General features: G+C 33.3%; 1 long non-coding RNA gene across 2 annotated transcripts in view; it reads right to left on the bottom strand.

Moving 5' to 3' along the window:
- LINC02334 (long intergenic non-protein coding RNA 2334) overlaps window positions 1-20695 on the bottom strand; it is a 131124-nt gene that overhangs the window by 46629 nt on the left and 63800 nt on the right. The gene's annotated exons all lie outside the window — the stretch shown is intronic.

Genomic DNA, 20695 nt, shown 5'->3' with positions numbered 1-20695 from the left:
ACACAGCACTGAAAATCCTAGCTTGAGCAATCAGGCAAGAAAATAAAAGGCATCTGAATTGGAAGATGGGAAGTCAAATTGTCCCTTTTTGCAGGTGACAAAAATCTCATATCTAGAAAAATCTAAAGACTCCACCAAAAAACTCCTAGATTTGACAAACAAATTTGGTAAGGTTTCATGATACAAAAATCAACATAGAAAACTCAGTACTGTTTCTCATAGAAGGGAGCAACTCACACTGGGGCCTGTCAGAGGGTGAAGGGTGGGAGGAAGGAGAGGATCAGGAAAAATAACTAATGGATACTAGGCTTAATACCTGGATAATGAAATAATCTGTACAAAAAACTCCCATGACACAAGTTTACCTATGCAACAAACCTGCATATATACCCTTGAACTTAAAAGCTAAAAATAAAATAAAGAAGAAGCTTAAAAAACAAAATTTAGTATTGTTTCTATATACCTTAATGAAATAGCTGAGAAAAAATATCAAGAAAGCAATTCCATTTACAATCGACACACATATACAAATACCTAGGAATAAATTTAACTAAAGAGGTGAAAGGTCTCTACAAGAAAAACAGCAAAAGTCTGAAAAATAAAAATAGTTGAAGAGGACACAAATGGAAAGACACCCTGTACTCATGGATCAGAGGAATTAACGTTATTAAAATGGCAATAATAACAATGAAAACTACAGATTTAGTACACTCCCTATCAAAATACCAATGTCATTTTTTCCCAGAAATAGAACTATCTTGAAATTTGTATGGAACCAAAACGGGTCCAAATAGCCAAAGAAATCCTGACCAAAAAGAACAAAGCTGGAAGGATCTCACTGACTTCAAAATATATTACAGATCTATAGTAACCAAAAAAGCTTAGTGTTCACATAAAAACAGACACATAGAACAATGTAACAGAATAGAGAAACCAAAAATAAATTCACATATTTACAGTGAACTGATTTTTGACAAAGGTGCCAAAAACATGCGGTGCAGAAAGGATACCCTCTTCAGTAAATGTGGGAAAATCAGATATCCACATGCAGAAGAAAGAAATTAGACCCTTATATCTCACTATATGCAAAAATCAACTCAAGATGGATTAAAGACTTAAACATAAGATCTGAATTATATAAAACCACTAGAGGAAATAAGATAAAACACTTTATGACATTGGTCTAGGCAAAGATTCTATGGCTAAAACATCAAAAGTACAGGCGAAAATTCAAAATTATACAAATATACAGATTAAAGTAAAAAAAACTTCTACACAGCTAAGAAAGCAACCAACAGAGTGGAGAGACAACCTGTTGAATGGGAGAAAATATTTGCAAACTATTCATCCAACAAAGGACTAATATTCAGAATAAAAAGGGACCCAACAACTCAACAGAAAAAAGAAGTTATCTCATCAGAAATGGGTAAAGAACATGAACAGGCATTTCTTAAAAGAAGACATACAAATGGCCAACAGGTATATAAAAAATGTTCAACATCAGTAATTATTAGGGAAATGCAAATCAAAACCACAATAAGAAATTGTATTATCCCAGTTAGAATGGCTATTACGTAAAAGACAAATATAACAGATGCCAGTGAGAATGTGCAGAAAAAGGAACTCTTATAAACTGTTGGTGGGAATGTAAATTAGTACATTCACTAAGGAAAGCAGTAGGCAGATTTCTCAAAAACTATTCATAGAACTTTCATATAATCCAGCAATCCTGCTATTGGGTATTTATCCAAAAAAGAGTAATGAATATGTCAAAAAGATAACTCCATCCTCATGTTTATTGCAGCACAATTCATAATAGCAAATATATAGATTCAACCCAAGTGTTGAAGAAAGTGTGGTATATACACACAGTGTCCACAAAAAAGACTAAAATTATGTCATTTGCAGCAACATGAATGAAACTGGAAGTCATTATGTTAGGTGAAATAAGCCAGGTATAGAAAAACAAATATCACATATTCTCACTCATATATAGGAGCTAGAAAAAGTTGATCTTATAAAGGTAGATAGTAAAATAATAGATACTAGAGGTTGACCAGGATGTGTGAGTTTGTGGAGTGGAGGTGAAGAGAGGTTGGTTAATGGGTAACAAGCATACAGTTAGATAAAATATATTTTAATGTTCAGTATCAGAGGAGGGGACTATAGTTAACACCTATGGATTGTGTATTTTAAAATAGCTAAAAGAGAGGACTTGAAATGTTCCCAACATGTGGAAATGATATTCGAGGTGATGAATACCCTAAGGACCGTGACTTGATCATTACACATTATATATGCATGTAACAAAATATCACATGTACCTCATAAATCTGTGCAAATATTATGTAGCAATGAAAAACTAAAACATATATATTTGAAAACATAAAATTAAAATAAAGCAGATGTCATGTCCTTACGGCTTCAATGATATCTCTGCCAAACATTCAAGAAGAAAATACCAATATCACATGAACTATTCCAAGAAGCAGGAGAGGAAGGAGCCCTCCTAAAATCATTTTATGAAATCAGCATCACTCTAATAGAGGTTGAGTATCCTAATTTGAAAATCCAAACTCCAAAATTCTCCAAAATTTTAATCTTTTTGAGCACCAACATGATGCTCAAAGGAGCTGTTCTTTGGAACATTTTGGATTTCAGATTTTTGGATTAAGGATGCTTAACCTAAGGATAATGCAAATATTCAAAAATCTGTAAAAATTTGAAAGTCAAAACACTTCTGGTTGCAAGCATTTCAGAGTAGGGATACTCAACCTGTACCAAAATATAACAAAGATGTAGTTTAAAATATACACCAATATCTCTAAATTAATATAGATACAAAATTATTTAGCAGGTACTAGCCAACAAATACAGTAGTATTAAAAAGTTTAGTATACTGTGAACAATCAACATTAATCTGAGTAATTTGGGATTGGTTTTACATTTGAAAATGAACCATTGCATTTTACCATAAAAAGAGAATAAAAGACAAAAACTGTTCTCATTTCAATAGATGCTAAAAAAGCATATAACAAAATTTAACAGATAAAAAACTCTCAGCAAACTAAAGAATATAAGGAGACTTCCTCAACCTAATAAAAGGCAGCTACAAAAGGCCTACAGCTAAATAATAAATATTTGAATATTGAAAAAGGAAGTGATGTACATTTCTACCACTTCTATTCTGCACTGCACTGGAGCTCTTCTCCAATGAAATCAGGAAAGGAAAACAATGAAAACAGATAGATAGATTTAAAAACAATAAAGATATAAAAGGAAGAAGTAAACCATTTATATTTGCAAACGTCATGATTAGTTACATAGCAAATCCTGAGGAATCTACAACAAAACTATGGAACTAATATATTTATTTAATGAGGTTGCATGATACAAGGTTAATATATACCACCAGCAAACAAAATGAAGAAAAACAATGCCATTTAAAATACTGTCCTTACACATAAAATGTCTTTGAATAAATTTAATAGATATGCAAAACTTCTGCATTAAAACATACAAAACATTGCTGCACTAAATTAAAGACCATCTATGTAAATATCTAAAGAATGAGTTTTACAAGATTCACGGGTTGGAAGACTCAGTATTGGTAAAACATCAACTTTACACAAACTGATCCATATATTCAATACAAATTCAATGTAAATCCAAATGCTAGAAGAGTTTTTATAGACATTGACAAGCTAAATCTATGCTTTATGTGGAAATGCGAGATCTAAAATAACCAAAGCTATCTTGAAAAATAAACCAAAGTTGGAAGATTACCTCATGACATCATGAGGTAATATAAAGCTACACTAATTAAGACAGTGCAGTAGTGGCATAAGTATTGGCACAAAAGTTTGATGTAACAAAATAGAAAGTTAAAACATACATACGCATTTATATACTGTCATACATAAATATTTATATAGTATCATTTGACTTATGAACAGACAATCAAATTAAAGGGAGAAAGAAAAGGTTTTTCTTTCAACACGTTGTGCTATAGAAAAATGTATATTCATGGTGAAAAAAAGAAAAAGAGAAGTCTGACCCTTACCTTACATTAAGCAAAACAATTGTTTAGATATAGAATGTAGACTAAAAGATAAAAGAAGTGAGTATAGGACTTTTAGAGAAAAGAAGAAGGAAATATTTTTTATGACTTGGGAGACAAGCTTTTTCACCAATTCACAGAGAGCAATAACTTTTGAATAATATATATAACAATAAATCAGACTTTGTCAAAAAAAAGTACTCATTAAAAATATCAGAAAATCAATGTGTAAGTGCCGGAGAGCAAAGAAAACAATCAGCAGAGTGAAGAGACAACCTACAGAACAGGAAAAATATTTACAAACATACATCTGATAAGGGATTAATATCCAAAATATATAAAGAACTCAACTGCATTGTAAGAGTAAAAAGAAGCCACTTAAAAAAACAGGTGAAGGACCTGAACACATATTTCTCAAAAAAAAGCCATACAAATAGCCAAGAGATATATGAAAAAAGGTTCAACATCATTGGTCATCAGGGAAACACAAATTAAGACAACAATGAGATATTTCATACCTGTTGAAATGGCTTTGATCAAAAACAAAAGACAAGTGTTTTTGAGGATGTAGATAAAATAGAACACTTATGCCCTGTTGGTAGAAATGAAAATTACTATAGGTATTAATAAAAATAGTATGGAAGTTCCTTGAAAAATTAAAAATAGAATTACCCTATGATCCAGCAATCCCGCTACTGGGTATATATACAAAGGAAACGAAATCACTATGTCAAAGGAATCTGCCCTCTGGTGTTGATTTCAGCATTATTCACAACAGCTAAGATATGGAACCAACCTAAGTGTCCATCAACAGATGAATGAATAAAGAAAATATATATTTACACAATGGAATACTATTCAGCCCTAAGAAAGAAGGAAATTCTGTCACTTGTAACAACATGGATAAGCCTGGAGAACATTATGTTAAGTGAAATAAGACAAACACAGGAAGACAAATACAGTATGGCATATTCTCACTTATGTATGAAATCTAAAAATGCTGAACTCATAGAAGCAGAGAGTGGTGGTTACCAGGTGCCGGAAGTGGGGTGGGAGTTAAGGAAGATTGGTCAAAGGATAAAACATTTCAGTTAGACAGAAGGACTAAGTTCAAGAGATCTATTTTACAACATGATGACTGTAGTTAATAACAATGTATTGTATACTTGAAAGCTGTTTAAGAGAGTAGATTTTAAGTGTTCTCACCACACAAAAAAATAAGTATTCAAGGTGATGCATATATTAATTAGCTTGATTTAGCCATTCCACAATGTATCCATATTTCAAAACATCATGTTGTACACAATAAATATATACAACTTTTATTTGTCAATTAAAAAATTAATATTTTTTAAAATTAGTCAGCTGTGCTGGTACATACCTGTAGTCCGAGCTACTGAGGAGACTGAGGCAGGAGAATCACTTGAGCCCAGGAAGTCAAGGCAGCAGTGAGCTGTGATCTTACCACTGCACTCCAACCTGGGGTATAGAGCGAGACCTTGTCTCAAAGAAAGTATTAATTAATTAATTATAAAAGAAAACAAATGTGCAAGCCACAGCTGGAAAAAACATTCACAAAGCAAGTATATGACCAAAATCTTGTCTCCAGAATTTATAAGGAGCTCTACAACTCAATAATAACACAAACCACTGAACTGAAAAAAAAATAGCGCGCAAAAGATTTGATAGGCACTTAAAAAAAGAGCAAGAGTAGTAGAAAGAGACAGATATGAGTTCACAGAAAGCACAGGAAAAATAATATTATTTTATAAAGTAAAACTACAATGTGATACTACACAATGTATCTCATACCATATATAAGAAATAATTCCAATAGACCTATTGTAAGGGCCTAACTGTAAATCTTGTAGAAGAAAACATAGGAGACCGTCTTATGACATTGGGTTTGGCAAAGAGAATTTAAATAGGACACAAAAAGAAAAACTTTAAAAGGAAGCATTTAGTAAATTGGATTTCATCAAAATAAACTCTTTGAGTCTTCCGCAGTCACTATTACGAAATACAAACAGCAAGCCACACCAGGAGTAAATACTCCTAAAATCTATGCCTGACAATGGGGCTTGTATTTAGAACATAAAATGAGCTCTCACAATTCAGTAAAAAGAAGGCAACCCATTAAAGAGAATATATGAATCATTTCCCCACTCAAAATCAAATATTATGATATTTAATACAAAATTGGCAGAGGTTAAGAAAATGAATAAGCAATTCATAAAAATCAGAAAGCTTTTTTATTAGCTTTCTGTTGTTTGGTGGATGCAACGATCATCACAGTTCTCTATGGTTCCTAATTATTCTTGTATTTTCATCTAATCAATAAACTGTTTCTTTCAAAATAACATTCTTTTGGTCATTTCTGCACATCTCTTTTATTCATCAGCTGTTTTTAAAAGATTGCTGGTACCTTTTTACTGTCGATACTCTATGCATTACCTATCCCTCTGAGTTGAGAGGTGTAGGTAAAAGGTGGAGTATTCTCTGTAGTTTGAAAAGTTATTTTGCCAAGAAGCCCCTTCCCTGAATCACCTGACTGTGGGCTCAGTGCATGCTGGGCTGTGTGTGGCCAGGCGCGTGGGCAGCACAGAGTGACATGGGCAGACTGCCTGTAAGCAGACACTGTGGTCAAAATAAAAAGGACTGAAATTCAGACATGAACACTTTATGCATCTTGGACACAAATACACACTCTGCAAAAAGAGAAGGAATATTTTATATTTCGAAAAGTCACAAAGAACAAAGTAATCCCCTTTTCTCTTTCAAATCAGCAGTTTTTTCCAACTAACATTTCCTCTGGGAAATGGTAGGGGGCCTTTTAATTCATAACTATTTTATTTCAAGTTCATTACTTATTTTTAAATTCATTTATAATTAATTATTTTTCTTTTATCTTTTATATTTTTTCCAAAATTCTCAAGTTTTTTTCTGTATTCACTCATATTGATTTTTTATACATTTTTAACTCTTATATTTGATTTCATTTTGCATAAGCATTGGCTCAAGGATCTTTATTTGAAGAAGTTTTCATCATATTTTCATCAGAAAATATTTAATCTTATCTCTATGTGTACCAAATAACATTTTAATTTAATTCTTAGATATTTTAATTCTTAGATAATTTAATTCTTAGATAGAGGTCTTCTAACCTTGTGGATACTACAAATTAGAACCTCAAGTGATATAGACCTTCATTGCAAAATCTTAGGAGAGACTATTTTAAGCCACAACTTGGAGCTAAAACATAGATACACAATTTTTATTTTGGGGTTTTCTGCTCACAGTTGCATTTTCATTCCTTTACACGCAATCTTTCTTTGAAGAAACAATCCTTCATTATTTAATCTAATGAATTATTTGTAAGAGATTAAACACTTATTCTTATGTTTTTTTAAAAAAGGGTTTTTTTTTGTCCTAACAGTATGTTGATTTTTAAATTTCTTTTGTTTCTTAGTTTTCTTAATATTGTGTTTGGCAAGACATTTAAAATTATAATATTTTTTATAATTTATCTAGAAACTAGATGTTTTCAAGCATAATATTCTGAAAGCAGAAGTCAGTTAGGTCATATTGTCATTATTTGAGATTTTTGATAAGATACCACAATTTAGTTATAAATTTGAATTAATATTTGACATTGTTTTCTGTCCTGAAGATTTTTAAAGAGAAGCAACTATTATTATAAGTGGTGCAGTCTTCCCTTTAAAACCAATTTTTATATAAAACTGACATTATTCATCTAAGACTGAACCAAGTAAGGCTGTCTTTCTATCCTGCAACCATTGAAAGGTACAGCACTGACATTTAATAGGAAATATTCAGTCATTTGTTTTACAGAAAGACATTGGGCTTCTCTATGATATTGAAATGAATGTGAAAAGTACGGCAAAAGCATGCTTTAAGTAGGAAATTGAGAGATAAATTATTTTCTTTCAAACATTCCCACTAATTGGGGCTCAAATGAGGCTATGGGAGAGGCAAACATTTTCTAAAGTAGGGTAGAAAGAAGGAGAAATGAGAATTTTCATTTTATGTGTAACCGACTAAAAAAATAGCTTAAAGATGGAGATTAGAAACTACAGCTGGGTAAAATAAAAAAAATTTTAGATATCTTCTAAAATATATTCAAATTTTAATTTGAGTAGAAATGTATTCAAGTTAAAGGAAAATAATCGACTACCATTTTAAGCATCTTCATTTTTTATTTTGTTCTGCTGACTTATAACTAAGAGCTGCCTTAGCAGACTGAAATTTGTGTTATGTCATTCATAAACGAACGCATTCTGAGTGTGCATCACACTTTTTACATTTGTTTAGTTTTGTTTTATTTTGAGACACAGTCTCACTCTGTCACCCAGGCTGGAGTGCAATGGCATGATCTCGGCACACTGCAACCTCCGCCTCCTGGGTTCAAGTGATTCTTCTGCCTCAGCCTCCCAAGTAGCTGGGATAACAGGAGCCCACCACTGTGCCCAGCTAATTTTTGTATTTTATTTTTTAGTAGAGACGGGGTTTCACCATGTTCACCAGGCTGGTCTCAAACACCTGACCTCAAGTGATTCAACCGCCTCTGCCTCCCAGGGTGCTGGGATTGCATCTGACATTCTCAAATAATCTCTTGTTTCATTTTGTGGAACTCTATGTTCCACAAATGTGGAGTGCCAGGCCCACACTTTTAAAATTTTAAATGTTACTTTCTCAATTCTTGTATCACCATTTTCTAAGAAAAACTATATTTTTTATATTATGTGTGATTTACAGATATTTTTCTCTGTCACGGTGAAAAACCTAAAAGACAATTTTCATTTTAATATTAACTTTCTAGTTTTTGTCTGAAATTGCTTTTGATGAGGAATCACTCTGAAGAGCTATTAAATAATGGATTAACATTTAATGCAGTATCTGATTATTGAGAAAACACAGTTGAATTTCTTCATTTTATGCATGAAGTATTGACAACTACAGCCCATGCTGAGTGCAACTGATTTCAGTGGCAAAACCTCAGCAAAAGATTGTACTGCAGCTATATTGCCTGCCAATAGTGATATGTTTCACAACTATTTGTGCTGAGACTTGGTATTTTCTCATAGACATTTCCTACTGTCTTATCGTTTGCTCATTTTCAGCTATAAAATATTGATTATGTAATCAAAAATACAGTTTTGATTATTTTCAGGGCTACTGACACACACCTTTAAGGAAGTTGGAGATACAGTGGTGAATATTGCTAGCAAAATCCCAGTGCCCATAAATGCAACTTATGTAGACTATGCCTGAGAATATGGGTTTCTAGCTTAGATTTTAAAGAAGCTTCATTATATGCTTGAATTTAAACATCCCTGAAAACAATTGGGTAAGTATATTTAGTTGTTTTAAAATTAAAAGAAACAATTTCAAGGTTTTACTATTTATTTTTTCTTTAAAAATTCACCTTTTCAGTGTCTAAGTAGATTTTAAAAGTCATTTGGATTCAGGAATTAAATCCAGTATTAATTCATATGATGTGGACATCCATGAAACTTCCTCAGTATAATTGAACACAGATTTTTGAAGATCATGGATATAGAATACCTGTGAATTACGTCAACTCATCCAACTTTTCCATCTTTTGATTGACCCAGAATAATGTTGAAATATATACAGTTGAATAATTGTGTATGTGTGTCTGTGTGAACATACTCAAGTAAATGCTTTATAAATATAACTGTGTGATCTTACACAGTTCTTACACACACACAGCTGTATTTATAAGGTATTTGCTTATGTTCATGGTATATAGGTATGTAAATATGCACATACATGAAATATTGTTCATGAGGGAATCATAAGTAAAAATTATTGAGAGCAATTTACTAGTAACAGAGAAGCTATTCTAAAATTTCAGAAAGAGCATTTTTAAAAATTTACCAAGGTAAAACATAATTAATAATTAAATTTGAGTTCAGAACCAGCCATGGGCAGAGCTGGTTTCCAAACCGAGCTTACAGAAGATTATGTCCTAGAAGCACAGGCAATACAAAGGCAGCTGGCACATCGCCAATATTGTATTGCAGAATGTAGAAAGCTCTGTTCCTTGTTATATTGAAGTCATCAGTCCTGCTCTATTTGTCTGAAAAAGTAAACATTCTCTAGACGAAGAAACCACCATCCAGAATCCCATATACTGTGCCCAGCTTTTAATCTTAAATTTTGAGCCATGCCAAGAAAAAAGCCCCTAACCCACTGATTAATAAGTAAACTTAGCAGAGTTGCTGAATACAAGGTCAGCATACAAAATTCAATTGTAATTCCACATGCTAGCAGAATAGAGAACACAAATTTTACAAGGGATTGATTTTTGTTAGTATCAAAAGAACTTTGGTACCTAGCAATAATTCTAAAAACAGTTGTACAAGAACTCTAAAATGAAAACTCCAAAACATTATTTAGGAAATCAAAAAGATTTCAGAGAATGGAAGGATAGATACTGTTAATAAATTCCAAGACTCAATAATTTAAAGACATACTTTTCCCAGATTAATCTATGGAATCGGTGCAAAACTCTATCAAAATGTGAACAAATTTGTACTATTTGTGTGGGGGTGTGGGTGTATAAACTCACTGGCTGCTTAAAATTAATTTGGGAAAATCACAAAAGGCTAAATAGAATCAAGAAAATCTTAAAGAAGAGTAAAGCTAGGGAAATTTTACAATAGATTTCTGGAAAAATAACCTACAGTAATTAAGACAATGCCATATGGACAAGTAAACTAATGGAATGAAGTCAAATGTGCAGTCCCGCCCATACGGGGTAATTTGATTGGTGAGAAATGTCATACCACAATACTGTGAGGAAAGGGACAGTTTTACAAATAAATGTGCTGGGGCAACTAGGTAGCCATATAGATAAAATTTTATCTTGCCTTCAAGCACAGATCATTCACAAAAATCAATTCTAGATTGACTGCAGATCTTATTATAAAAGGTAACTATATAAAACTGTGGGAAAAATAGGAAATATTTTATATTATTGAGGTAAGCAAAGATTTCTTAAATAGGACACTAAAATTGCTAACAGTGATGGTAAAATTCAATAAATTGATAAAACTATTAAAGTTAAGAACCTATGTTTATCAAACAAATATTGTAAAGACATTGAACAAACAAGAATGTGGGAAGCTGTCTGTCGAACGTATATCTAACAAAGTCCCATATCCAGAATATATAAATATCTACACATCATTCTTTTTACTTTTTAAATTTTTTCTTTAATTGTTTGAGACTGGGTCTCTCTCTGTCATTCAGGCTGGAGTGCAGTGGTACAATCATAGCTCACTGCAGCCTCGAACTCCTGGGGCTCAAGCAATCCTCCTGCCTGAGACTCCTAATATGTGGGGCTACAGGTTTGCACCACCACACCTGTCTTAACACATTTCATTTTTTTGTAGAGATGAGGTCTCACTATGTTGCCCAGGCTGGTCTCAAACTCCTGGGCTCAAGTTATTTCCCACCCCAGCCTCCCAAAATGCTGGGAGTATAAGCATGAGCCATTGCACCTGGCCAATATATGCAAATCAATAACATAAAGATTAACAGAGCAATAGAAAAAAATAGACAAAAGACATACAGTGACATTTTACAATGTCATCAGGTTAATAAACATATGAAATCTGTTTAAGGAATCGAGTTGCATGGGGAAATGCAAGCTAAAACCACAATTACTACCACCACACCAGAGTGGTAGTAGTAATTGTTTCTACTAATTACTAATTAGTAATTCTAATTCTTTAGCTACCAGAATGGCTGAAATAAAAAAGATAATGCCGAGTGTTAGCAAGGATGTAGCACTCTCAGACACAAATAAGAGTGAATGGTAACCACTTTTCAAAATTGTTTACCAATATCTAACATAGCCAAATTATGCATACTTAGTGTCTCAGCCATTCCTCTCATATATCTATATCTATATCTTTATATATATTCCAATATACATATGTACATATGATCATTAACAGACATGTACAAGGACGTTCATAGCAGTGTTAATAACAAATGTGTTGAAACATTAAGATAAAAATATCACTACCTATAAAAATGGATAACTCTCAAAATATAATTTCTAATGAAAATATTCAGGTATAAATGAGTATGTATAGTACATAATTCTATTAATAAAAATACCATTAAGAGGACAAATACATCTGTGGAGTAAGGCATCATAATAGTTATTACCTTTGTGAAGAAACAGTGACTGGGAAGTTGGCTTTTTGAATATTGGTAATGACCTATTTCTTATATCAGTGCTGATCACTCAATGTATTTCAATTTGTGAAAATAAAGTTGTATACTTCTGATTTGTGTACTTTGGGTCTATGTATTCTAGTTCAATAAAACATTTAAATGATAAGATTAAAAAATGGATTTAGACTATTATCACACATATCTGACCAAGAAAAAGTCATTTCTACCTCAAAAAGCAAATATATTAAGAATATTGTGCTACATCAAAAAGCTAGAGAGATCTCAAATGGACACCCTAACATCACAACTAAAAGAACTAGAGAACCAAGAGATACACATCCTAAAATTAGCAGAAGAGAAGAAATAACCAAGATCGGAGTAGAACTGAAGGAGATGGAGACATGAAAATCCCCTCAAAAAAGATAAATGAATCCAGGAGCAGGTTTTTGAAAAATATAATAAAGTAGGTAGACTACTGGCTAGACTAATACAGAAGAAGAAAGAGAAGAATTAAATAGACACAGTAAAAAAATGATAAAGGGGATATCACCGCTGACCCCACAGAAATACAAACAACCATCCGAGAGTACTATAAACACCTCTATGCAAATAAACTAGAAAATCTAGAAGAAATGGACAAATTCCTGGACACATATAGCCTCCCAAGACTGAACCAGGAAGAAGTCAAATCCCTGAATAGACCAATAACAAGTTCTGAAATTGAGGCACTAATTGTTGGTGGGAAAGTAAATTAGTTCCACCATTGTGGAAGACAGTGTGGCGATTTCTCAAAGATGGTAGAATAAGAAATACCATTTGACCCAGCAATCCCATTTCTGTGTACAGAACCAAAGAAAGATATATTGTTCTATTATAAACATGCATGCCCATTCGTGTATGTTGATTGCAGCACTATTCATAATAGCAAAGATATGGAATCAACCCAAATGCCCATTAATGATAGACTGGATAAAGAAAACGTGGTCCATATACAACATGGAATACTTTGCAGCCATAAAATGGAATGAGATTATGTCCTTTGCAAGGACGTGGATGGAGCTGGAGGCCATTATACTTAGCAAACTAATGTATAGTTTTCTGGAACAGAAAAGCAAATACCGCATGTTCTCACTTATAAGTGGGAGCTGAATAATGAGAACACATGGACACAGCGACGGGAATGATACACCCTGGGGCCTGTCATGGGGGTTGGTGGGGAGAGAGAGTATCAGGATAAATGGCTATTGCATATGGGGATTAATACCTAGGTTGGGTTGATAGGTGCCACAAACCACCATGGCACACATTTACCTATGTAACAAATGTGCACGTCCTTCACATGTATCCCAGAACTTAAAATGAAATTAAATTTAATTTTTTAAAAGAATATTGTGCTAATAAATACAAGTGACTCATTTTTAGTAAAAAAAATTCGAACATGACATATATCTACAAAGTGTTATTATGTATGCACATTTTCTAAAATTGGGCACAAACTTCATATTTGATAATGAGGTTTTTTTGTCCTAAATGTGTACATATAATGAATAATAACGTCCTCATTTATTTCCCTATATAAGAGACAATGCTTTGCTCAATTGTCTTATAAGAAGGCATGCATTTTTTTTTTTCTTTTTCTGGAGACGGAGTCTTGCTCTGTCGTCCAGGCTGGAGTGCAGTGGCGCGATCTCGGCTCACTGCAAGCTCCGCCTCCCGGGTTCACGCCATTCTCCTGCCTCAGCCTCCCGAGTAGCTGGGACTACAGGCGCCCCCCACCAAGCCCAGCTACTTTTATATATATATATATATATATATATTTTTAGTAGAGATGGGGTTTCACCGTGTTAGCCAGGATGGTCTTGATCTCCTGACCTCGTGATCCACCCGCCTCGGCCTCCCAAAGTGCTGGGATTACAGGCGTGAGCCACCGCGCCCGGCCAGAAGGCACGCATTTTTAAGTCTTTAGTAAAATGGTTGTAGTTAGTAGTACCTTCAAATCATCTTCTAGCGCAGAATGATGTACTTTCAAGCAAAATCACACAGGCTACTTGGCTTCTGCAGCAACTCACAAACGTAGGGACCATGAATAAACTTTATGATTTTTAATATTTATTTTAGTATAGATGATATATTGTCCAATGCTTTCTATTATCCAGTTCTTAAAATAATTTTATGCACACTAACAGTACACATTCTTTGATTTATAAGAATATAAATAATGAATTATTTTAACAGCATAAAAATAAGAGCAAGACAATTACCTCAGATGCTCAATTCTCTAGTTTACATTTTTGGAGCACTCTCAACATTGTCATTCAGCAGAGAAATCATCTTCCTTTCAATCTCATTACCATGAGAATGAAATGTTAGGGCATTATTGACAAAATATGAAGTTGCATTTGAAGGTTTTAAACATAGGTAAATGACATGATTAGAGCTGGAGAAAACTAGCTTGGCATTAGATTGTAGGTTGGATTAGAGAAGAAAAGTGGAAGTTGGAAGGCCAGATAAGATATAATTAGTAAAGCCTAAGCAAGAAGTAAATATAACTTGGTGTAGGCTGTTGTCAGTAAAAATAGAAAGCAGAAGTAAAAATGAACAATAATGATACAATATAGTCAGCAAATATGAAAACTGATTGGATTTGAAAATTAGGCAGAAAGATACATATGAGATTTTGTGTGTGAGGGTCTTCAATTTACTATCATATGCCATGTGTGGATTTGAAGTCTACTTAAATATTTCCATTCTTTTTTTATAAGCTCACACAATAAACCACTTCATCCCTGTAAATCATCTAATATTTGATCATATTTCCCAATACCTGAGGCACCTCTACACAGAGCTTAAATCAGGGTAGGAGAGAGTAAGGTGCCAGAAAGTCTTCTACTAAAGCAATGTTGAAGAGAGAGAGAAGATGAGAAAAAGAGAGAGAGAAGTTTGAAGGTGGGAAAGTTCCGTCACATTAACTGACAATTCATGGTCTCTCCACTCTTCATGCCTATACTTACAGTGTCTCAGGGTACAAAGTACCAGGGAAGCAGGAGCTGCCACCAATACTGGTCCTTGTGCTAAAGAAGAGACCATTGACTATGTTGATCTGCAGCCTTTTCCCAGCCCTCTGGGCACTTAGAGGCAATATACAGAGCACAGGAGGAATGCTTGCTGGAAGCTGTGTTGAATGCATAAGGAATTATCCCTGTCCTCAAAAATCCTCTTTCCCTCCTTTTGACAAATCAAGATTTTGAGCTCTAATAACATAACATAAATTATTTTTATATTGAATCTGACATTTGATGTTGAAAGGCACAAAAATGTATGATTCAGAGAACAGATCTTGTGAGATTCAAAATCAGAATGTGTGTCTGTGATAAGTAAAATGTTAACCCAGGTGCCAGCCTGAAATATATTGTTAATTGAGCACTTGAATAATTTTTTATGAATAAAACCAAAGTTCATTTTTATAATGACATAATTTCAGTAAAATTGTGACACTGGGGGAGTGAAGCCAGAGTTCAAGGGATTTGGGGGAAATTATACTCTGCACCAAACGGTATTTTTAAGAGCATGTAAAATTCATGGCAGTAGTTTCATCAATAAGTATAATTTTTACATAAAGTTTTGGACAAAGGCTATGCTCTAATAAGTCTGCAAAGAGGTGATTTGCTTAATACTCAAAGTGCAATACCCTGTGCAGCACCGCACTTCTTAGAGAACATAAATCAGTCGCTTTGGATTATAAAATCGTTACGGTATAGGGAGTTCTCAGTTGTCCCGAAGCCATTCAATGCAAAGCAAATATTCAGTGTTTGCATGATAGTTTCCTCATTTCCTTGTGTCAGGTTCCTGACAGGAAGATTTATACGCATGCACTGTTTGGCTTGTACATGTAAACGCAACAATTTCCTTATTTGCCTGTAGTTTGATTAGCCTTATGCCAGAAAAAAAAAATTAACAAAAGAAACCTTATGACCTGTTGGTACTAGGCTTGCTACTCATGGTCTAAATGTTGATAAAATTTGAACCTAATAAAAGTTTACAATCTTGTTGTCAAAAAAATCATAAACTGGAAACTAGGAGAAAATATGAGTGTATATATGTGTATATCTATGTCCAATAAAATTTTAGCATGTAGAATATAAAGAGTTGCTAAAAATAGATAACACAATGTGAAGCAGTCCAGTGGAAAAGTAGGCCAAACACATGACAAAAGAAGGTAGGGGGCGAGATGAAGGAAAGGTGGTTAAAGGGTTCAAAAACACATTTAAATAGCAGGAATACATTTTAGTATTTGACAGAACAATAGGGAAATTATAGTTAATAATAATTTATTGTATATTTCAAAATAACTAGAAGAGAATTGTAATATTCCCAACACAAAGAGAAGATATATATTTGAGGTGATGGTTATCCCATTTACCCAGATTTTAGCATTATACATTGTATACATGTTTCAAAATATCACACGTATCCCCAAAATATGTACAACTATTATTTATCATTAAAAAATACAAAAAATATAATACAAACACATGACAAAAGAAGAGAAAGTAAGGTCAATTAGCATATGAAAAGCTGCCAAAAATCAATGTTAATCTGAGAAATATAAATTAAAATAGCCAGAAATAATTTTTTACATTCTAGGTTTTCAAAATTAAGAAGTCAAATAATACAACCATGATCTCCTTTATATCTTGTAAGAATGTAAATTGATTGTAACCATTTTTGGAAACAATCTAGCACAATCTCATAAAGCTAAATATTTGTATACCCCTTTACCCAGTAATTTCAGTAAAATTGTGACGTTCATAGACCTATATCCAAACTCTTGTCTATGTGCACCATGTAGAATAGCATATTTTCATACAAAACAAAACAATAAAGCAAAACTAAAAGCAATTCAAGTTCATAAAGTGTGGTATATTAACACAATAAAACATCATTCAACAAGGAAATTAGTTGCATAGAGCAACATGAATAGATTTTGAAAGCATAGCATCATTAATTAAGATTTGGAAGCATAAATTAAGTAAGCAGTCAGACCCACAAGACTATCTACAATATGTTATCTTTTATTCACTAATTTAACGAGAAATTGATGGGTTCATGTCCTTTGCAGGGACTTGGATGAAGCTGGAAACCATCATTCTCAGCAAACTAACACAGGAACAGAAAACCAAACACCACATGTTCTCACTCATAAGTGGGAGTTGAACAAGGAGAACACATGGACACAGAGAGGGGAACATCACACACTGGGGCCTGCTGGGGGATGGGGGGCTAGGGGAGGGATAGCATTAAGAGAAATACCTAATGTAAATAATGGATTTATGGGTGCAGCAAACCACCATGGCACGTGTATACCTGTGTGACAAACCTGCACGTTCTGCACATGTATCCCAGAACTTGTTATTTTAAAAAACACATATATATATACACAATGGGACTTCAAAATTTCATTAAAAATAGAATTAAAGGATAAGAATAAAAATATAAACTTATTTCTTAACATAACCTCCATCAAGTTCAAGATGCTTTTGTAAGAGATAACACCAGCCATTCAGTCCATCCCTAAAGAACTGAGGGTCCTGGGACTTTAACCAGAACAACAACTGATTTAACAACTTTCTTATATTATTATTTTTATGTTATTAACTGAAGAAAAATGGGTGTATCCTTTAAACATTTTTTTAAGATTAGAAAACAAAAACAAGTTAGAAGAAGCCCAATCAGGGCTGGAAAGGTGGATGCCTAATAATTTGTTGAAACTCACACAATTGCCCTAGTTTGATGAAAGAAATGTGCAGGAAACTTGTCATGGTAGAGAAGGACTCTGTATTGCCTCTTTCCTGGGTGTTTTTGCTAAAGCTTTGGCTAACTTTCTCAAAACATTATCACAATAAGCAGATGTTACTAGTCTTTGGCTCTCCAGGGAGTTAGCAAGAAAAATGCCTTAAGCGTCCCCAAAATCTGTTGCCATGACCTTTGCTCTTGACCAGTCTGCTTTTGTTTTGACTGGACCACTTTCACCTCTTGGTAGCTATTGCTTTGATTGTTTCTTTGTCTTTAGGATCATACTGGTGAAACCACGTTTTATCTCCTATTATAATTCTTTGAAGAAATGCTACAGGATCTTGATCTTGCTTGTTTAAACTTTTTATTGAAAGCTCTGATCTTGTCTGCCGCTGATTGGGGCACAACAGTTTTGGCACCTATCAAGTGGAAAGTTTGCTCAGCTTTAATTTTTCATTAAGAGTTATGTGAGTTGAACCAATTGAGATGTCTATGGCGTGGGCTATTGTTTGTGCTGTTAATCATTGGTCCTCTTCAGTTAGCGCATGAACAAGATGAACAACAAATTGATGTGGATGGTCTGCTACTGCAAGCTTCATCTCCAACAGTGTCTCATCGCTTCTTAAAATGAGGTATTCCTTTGTAAGATGTTGATGTTGGCGAGACATTCTCTCCATAAACTTTTCATAAAGCATCAATGAGTTCACCTTTCTTCCTCCCAAGCTTCACTATAAAATTAATCTTTGTTCTTGCTTCAGTTTTAACGCAAGTCATTTTGCTCTGATAGGAGCTCTTTTCAAATTGATATGTTATTCTTAAGTTATGATATTTAAGCATGTTACAACAAGTTAGTAGGAGTTTATTTTGATGCAAAAAATAAATTCATGCAAGTTTTTTATAATATACATTTTCATAAACGTTTTGAAGAACACTCATACATAATAAAATACATAAAATACATAGGGACATAAGGAGAAAGACAGCAGCAATAGGTAATGTAAGTTATTGATTATATTTTAGTTCATGGACTGGAAAGTAGGTTCATGGTTGCTTATCATTATAGTTTGTCGATCATATTAATATTACTTATATCTATCTGTATTTGTCCAACACATTAAAATTTGATAAAACAAAACTAGAGAAAAGTTTAAACAGCTATGTATAACAATTTTTTAAAAAATAATGAGACAATATACATATGCTTAATCAGATAGTTTATTTTACGTGTTTGAGAAAGAAGATACTTCATATTATTTTTCAGCAGATATAGTTCACCTTTTCCTATGATTTTTCCTTAAGCAAATGGCAAACAAGAAGGCTTTTATTGTAGAGTTAAAGTTCAATACATATGACATAATCGTTTGTTGATAATATGCTATTATTAGTAGTGTTAATATGTTATTAACACACTACTACTAGTAATTGTAAATAGTATGTTATTAATAGTATGTCATTTACTAGTATGTTGAAAAATAAGCAGTATAGTGTTTGTTGAGCAGAGCAAAATATAGTTGAATATTTTTTCCTTGTATCTGACATGGAGTGTATGTGAGTGTATATATTAGAGAAAAGTGAGGCACATTTTTGTGAGGGTAAAGCCTATGTTTACATGAAGATTTTTATAAATCCAGTGAATATAGTTTAAAATGTAAAAACTGAAAGTTATCTATAGTCATTTAGATTTTCAGACGTTTTTAAATCATCTCATAAGAGATTAATAAAAGTTCTATTTTGTGCATCCCAGTGAGGCTTGAAAATGAATACTGTTTCTGTGACACTGTTGGTTTCTTCATCATGTTTCCATACCATTTGCAAATGAATTGGTTTTCTTGTGAAATTTTAGTTGTCACTTTTCTGTAGGAAATCTTCACTATTTCCAAAACAGCCAAGCTTTTTAGAGATGTGTATTAGATACACCATAACTTTAACTAATTAAAGACTGTTACTTTGACAGTTTTAAATAAAGATGAACAATTCTGCTAGAAAGGATGTGAATCCTGAAAGAGCCAGTTCTTCAAGATGGATCCTGAGTGGCTAACTGGGCCTAAATTCAAAATAGAGCCAAGCACCCAGTTGCTGACTATAAGGATCACACACATATTCTGCATTTCTGGAAAACCCAGACACTCCTATAATTTTTGGACTTTCATAACTGTCTGTAGCTGTTCAGGTTAAAACCCCATTTTGCTTCCTGGACCTAACCAATAGACTGTGAGCTGCATCGGTCAATAACAATTAACAAGTTTGCATGCCTCATTTGTATAAGCAGACCAGAGTGGGAACCTGAATGGGGATTCTCTGTGAAAAAAGAGCGATCTCTGTTGTCTCCAACACACCTTCGCTTTGTAAGGAAGGCAACATCTCCCCTGTTTGCAAACCACTCACTGGAATCGTCTCCTTTGTTTTTTTAAAAAGAAAATTCTTTTCAGTGGATTTGTTAACAAGTGGTTTAAAAGTTCTATCTGTGGCTAATGGAGCTAATAACATGATTAAAAAAGAACAAGTCCAGCAGCATACAAAAGCTTTTAAATTACCCATATTACAAGACAAGTATTAGAGTATTTTAGAGATGAAAGAGCACTTAGAGGCAATCTCCAAGTAATCCAT

Source organism: Homo sapiens, chromosome 13 (assembly GCF_000001405.40).
Source record: "Homo sapiens chromosome 13, GRCh38.p14 Primary Assembly".
Lineage (NCBI taxonomy): Eukaryota > Metazoa > Chordata > Mammalia > Primates > Hominidae > Homo > Homo sapiens.
This window is presented reverse-complemented; position numbering and strand designations above follow the sequence as displayed.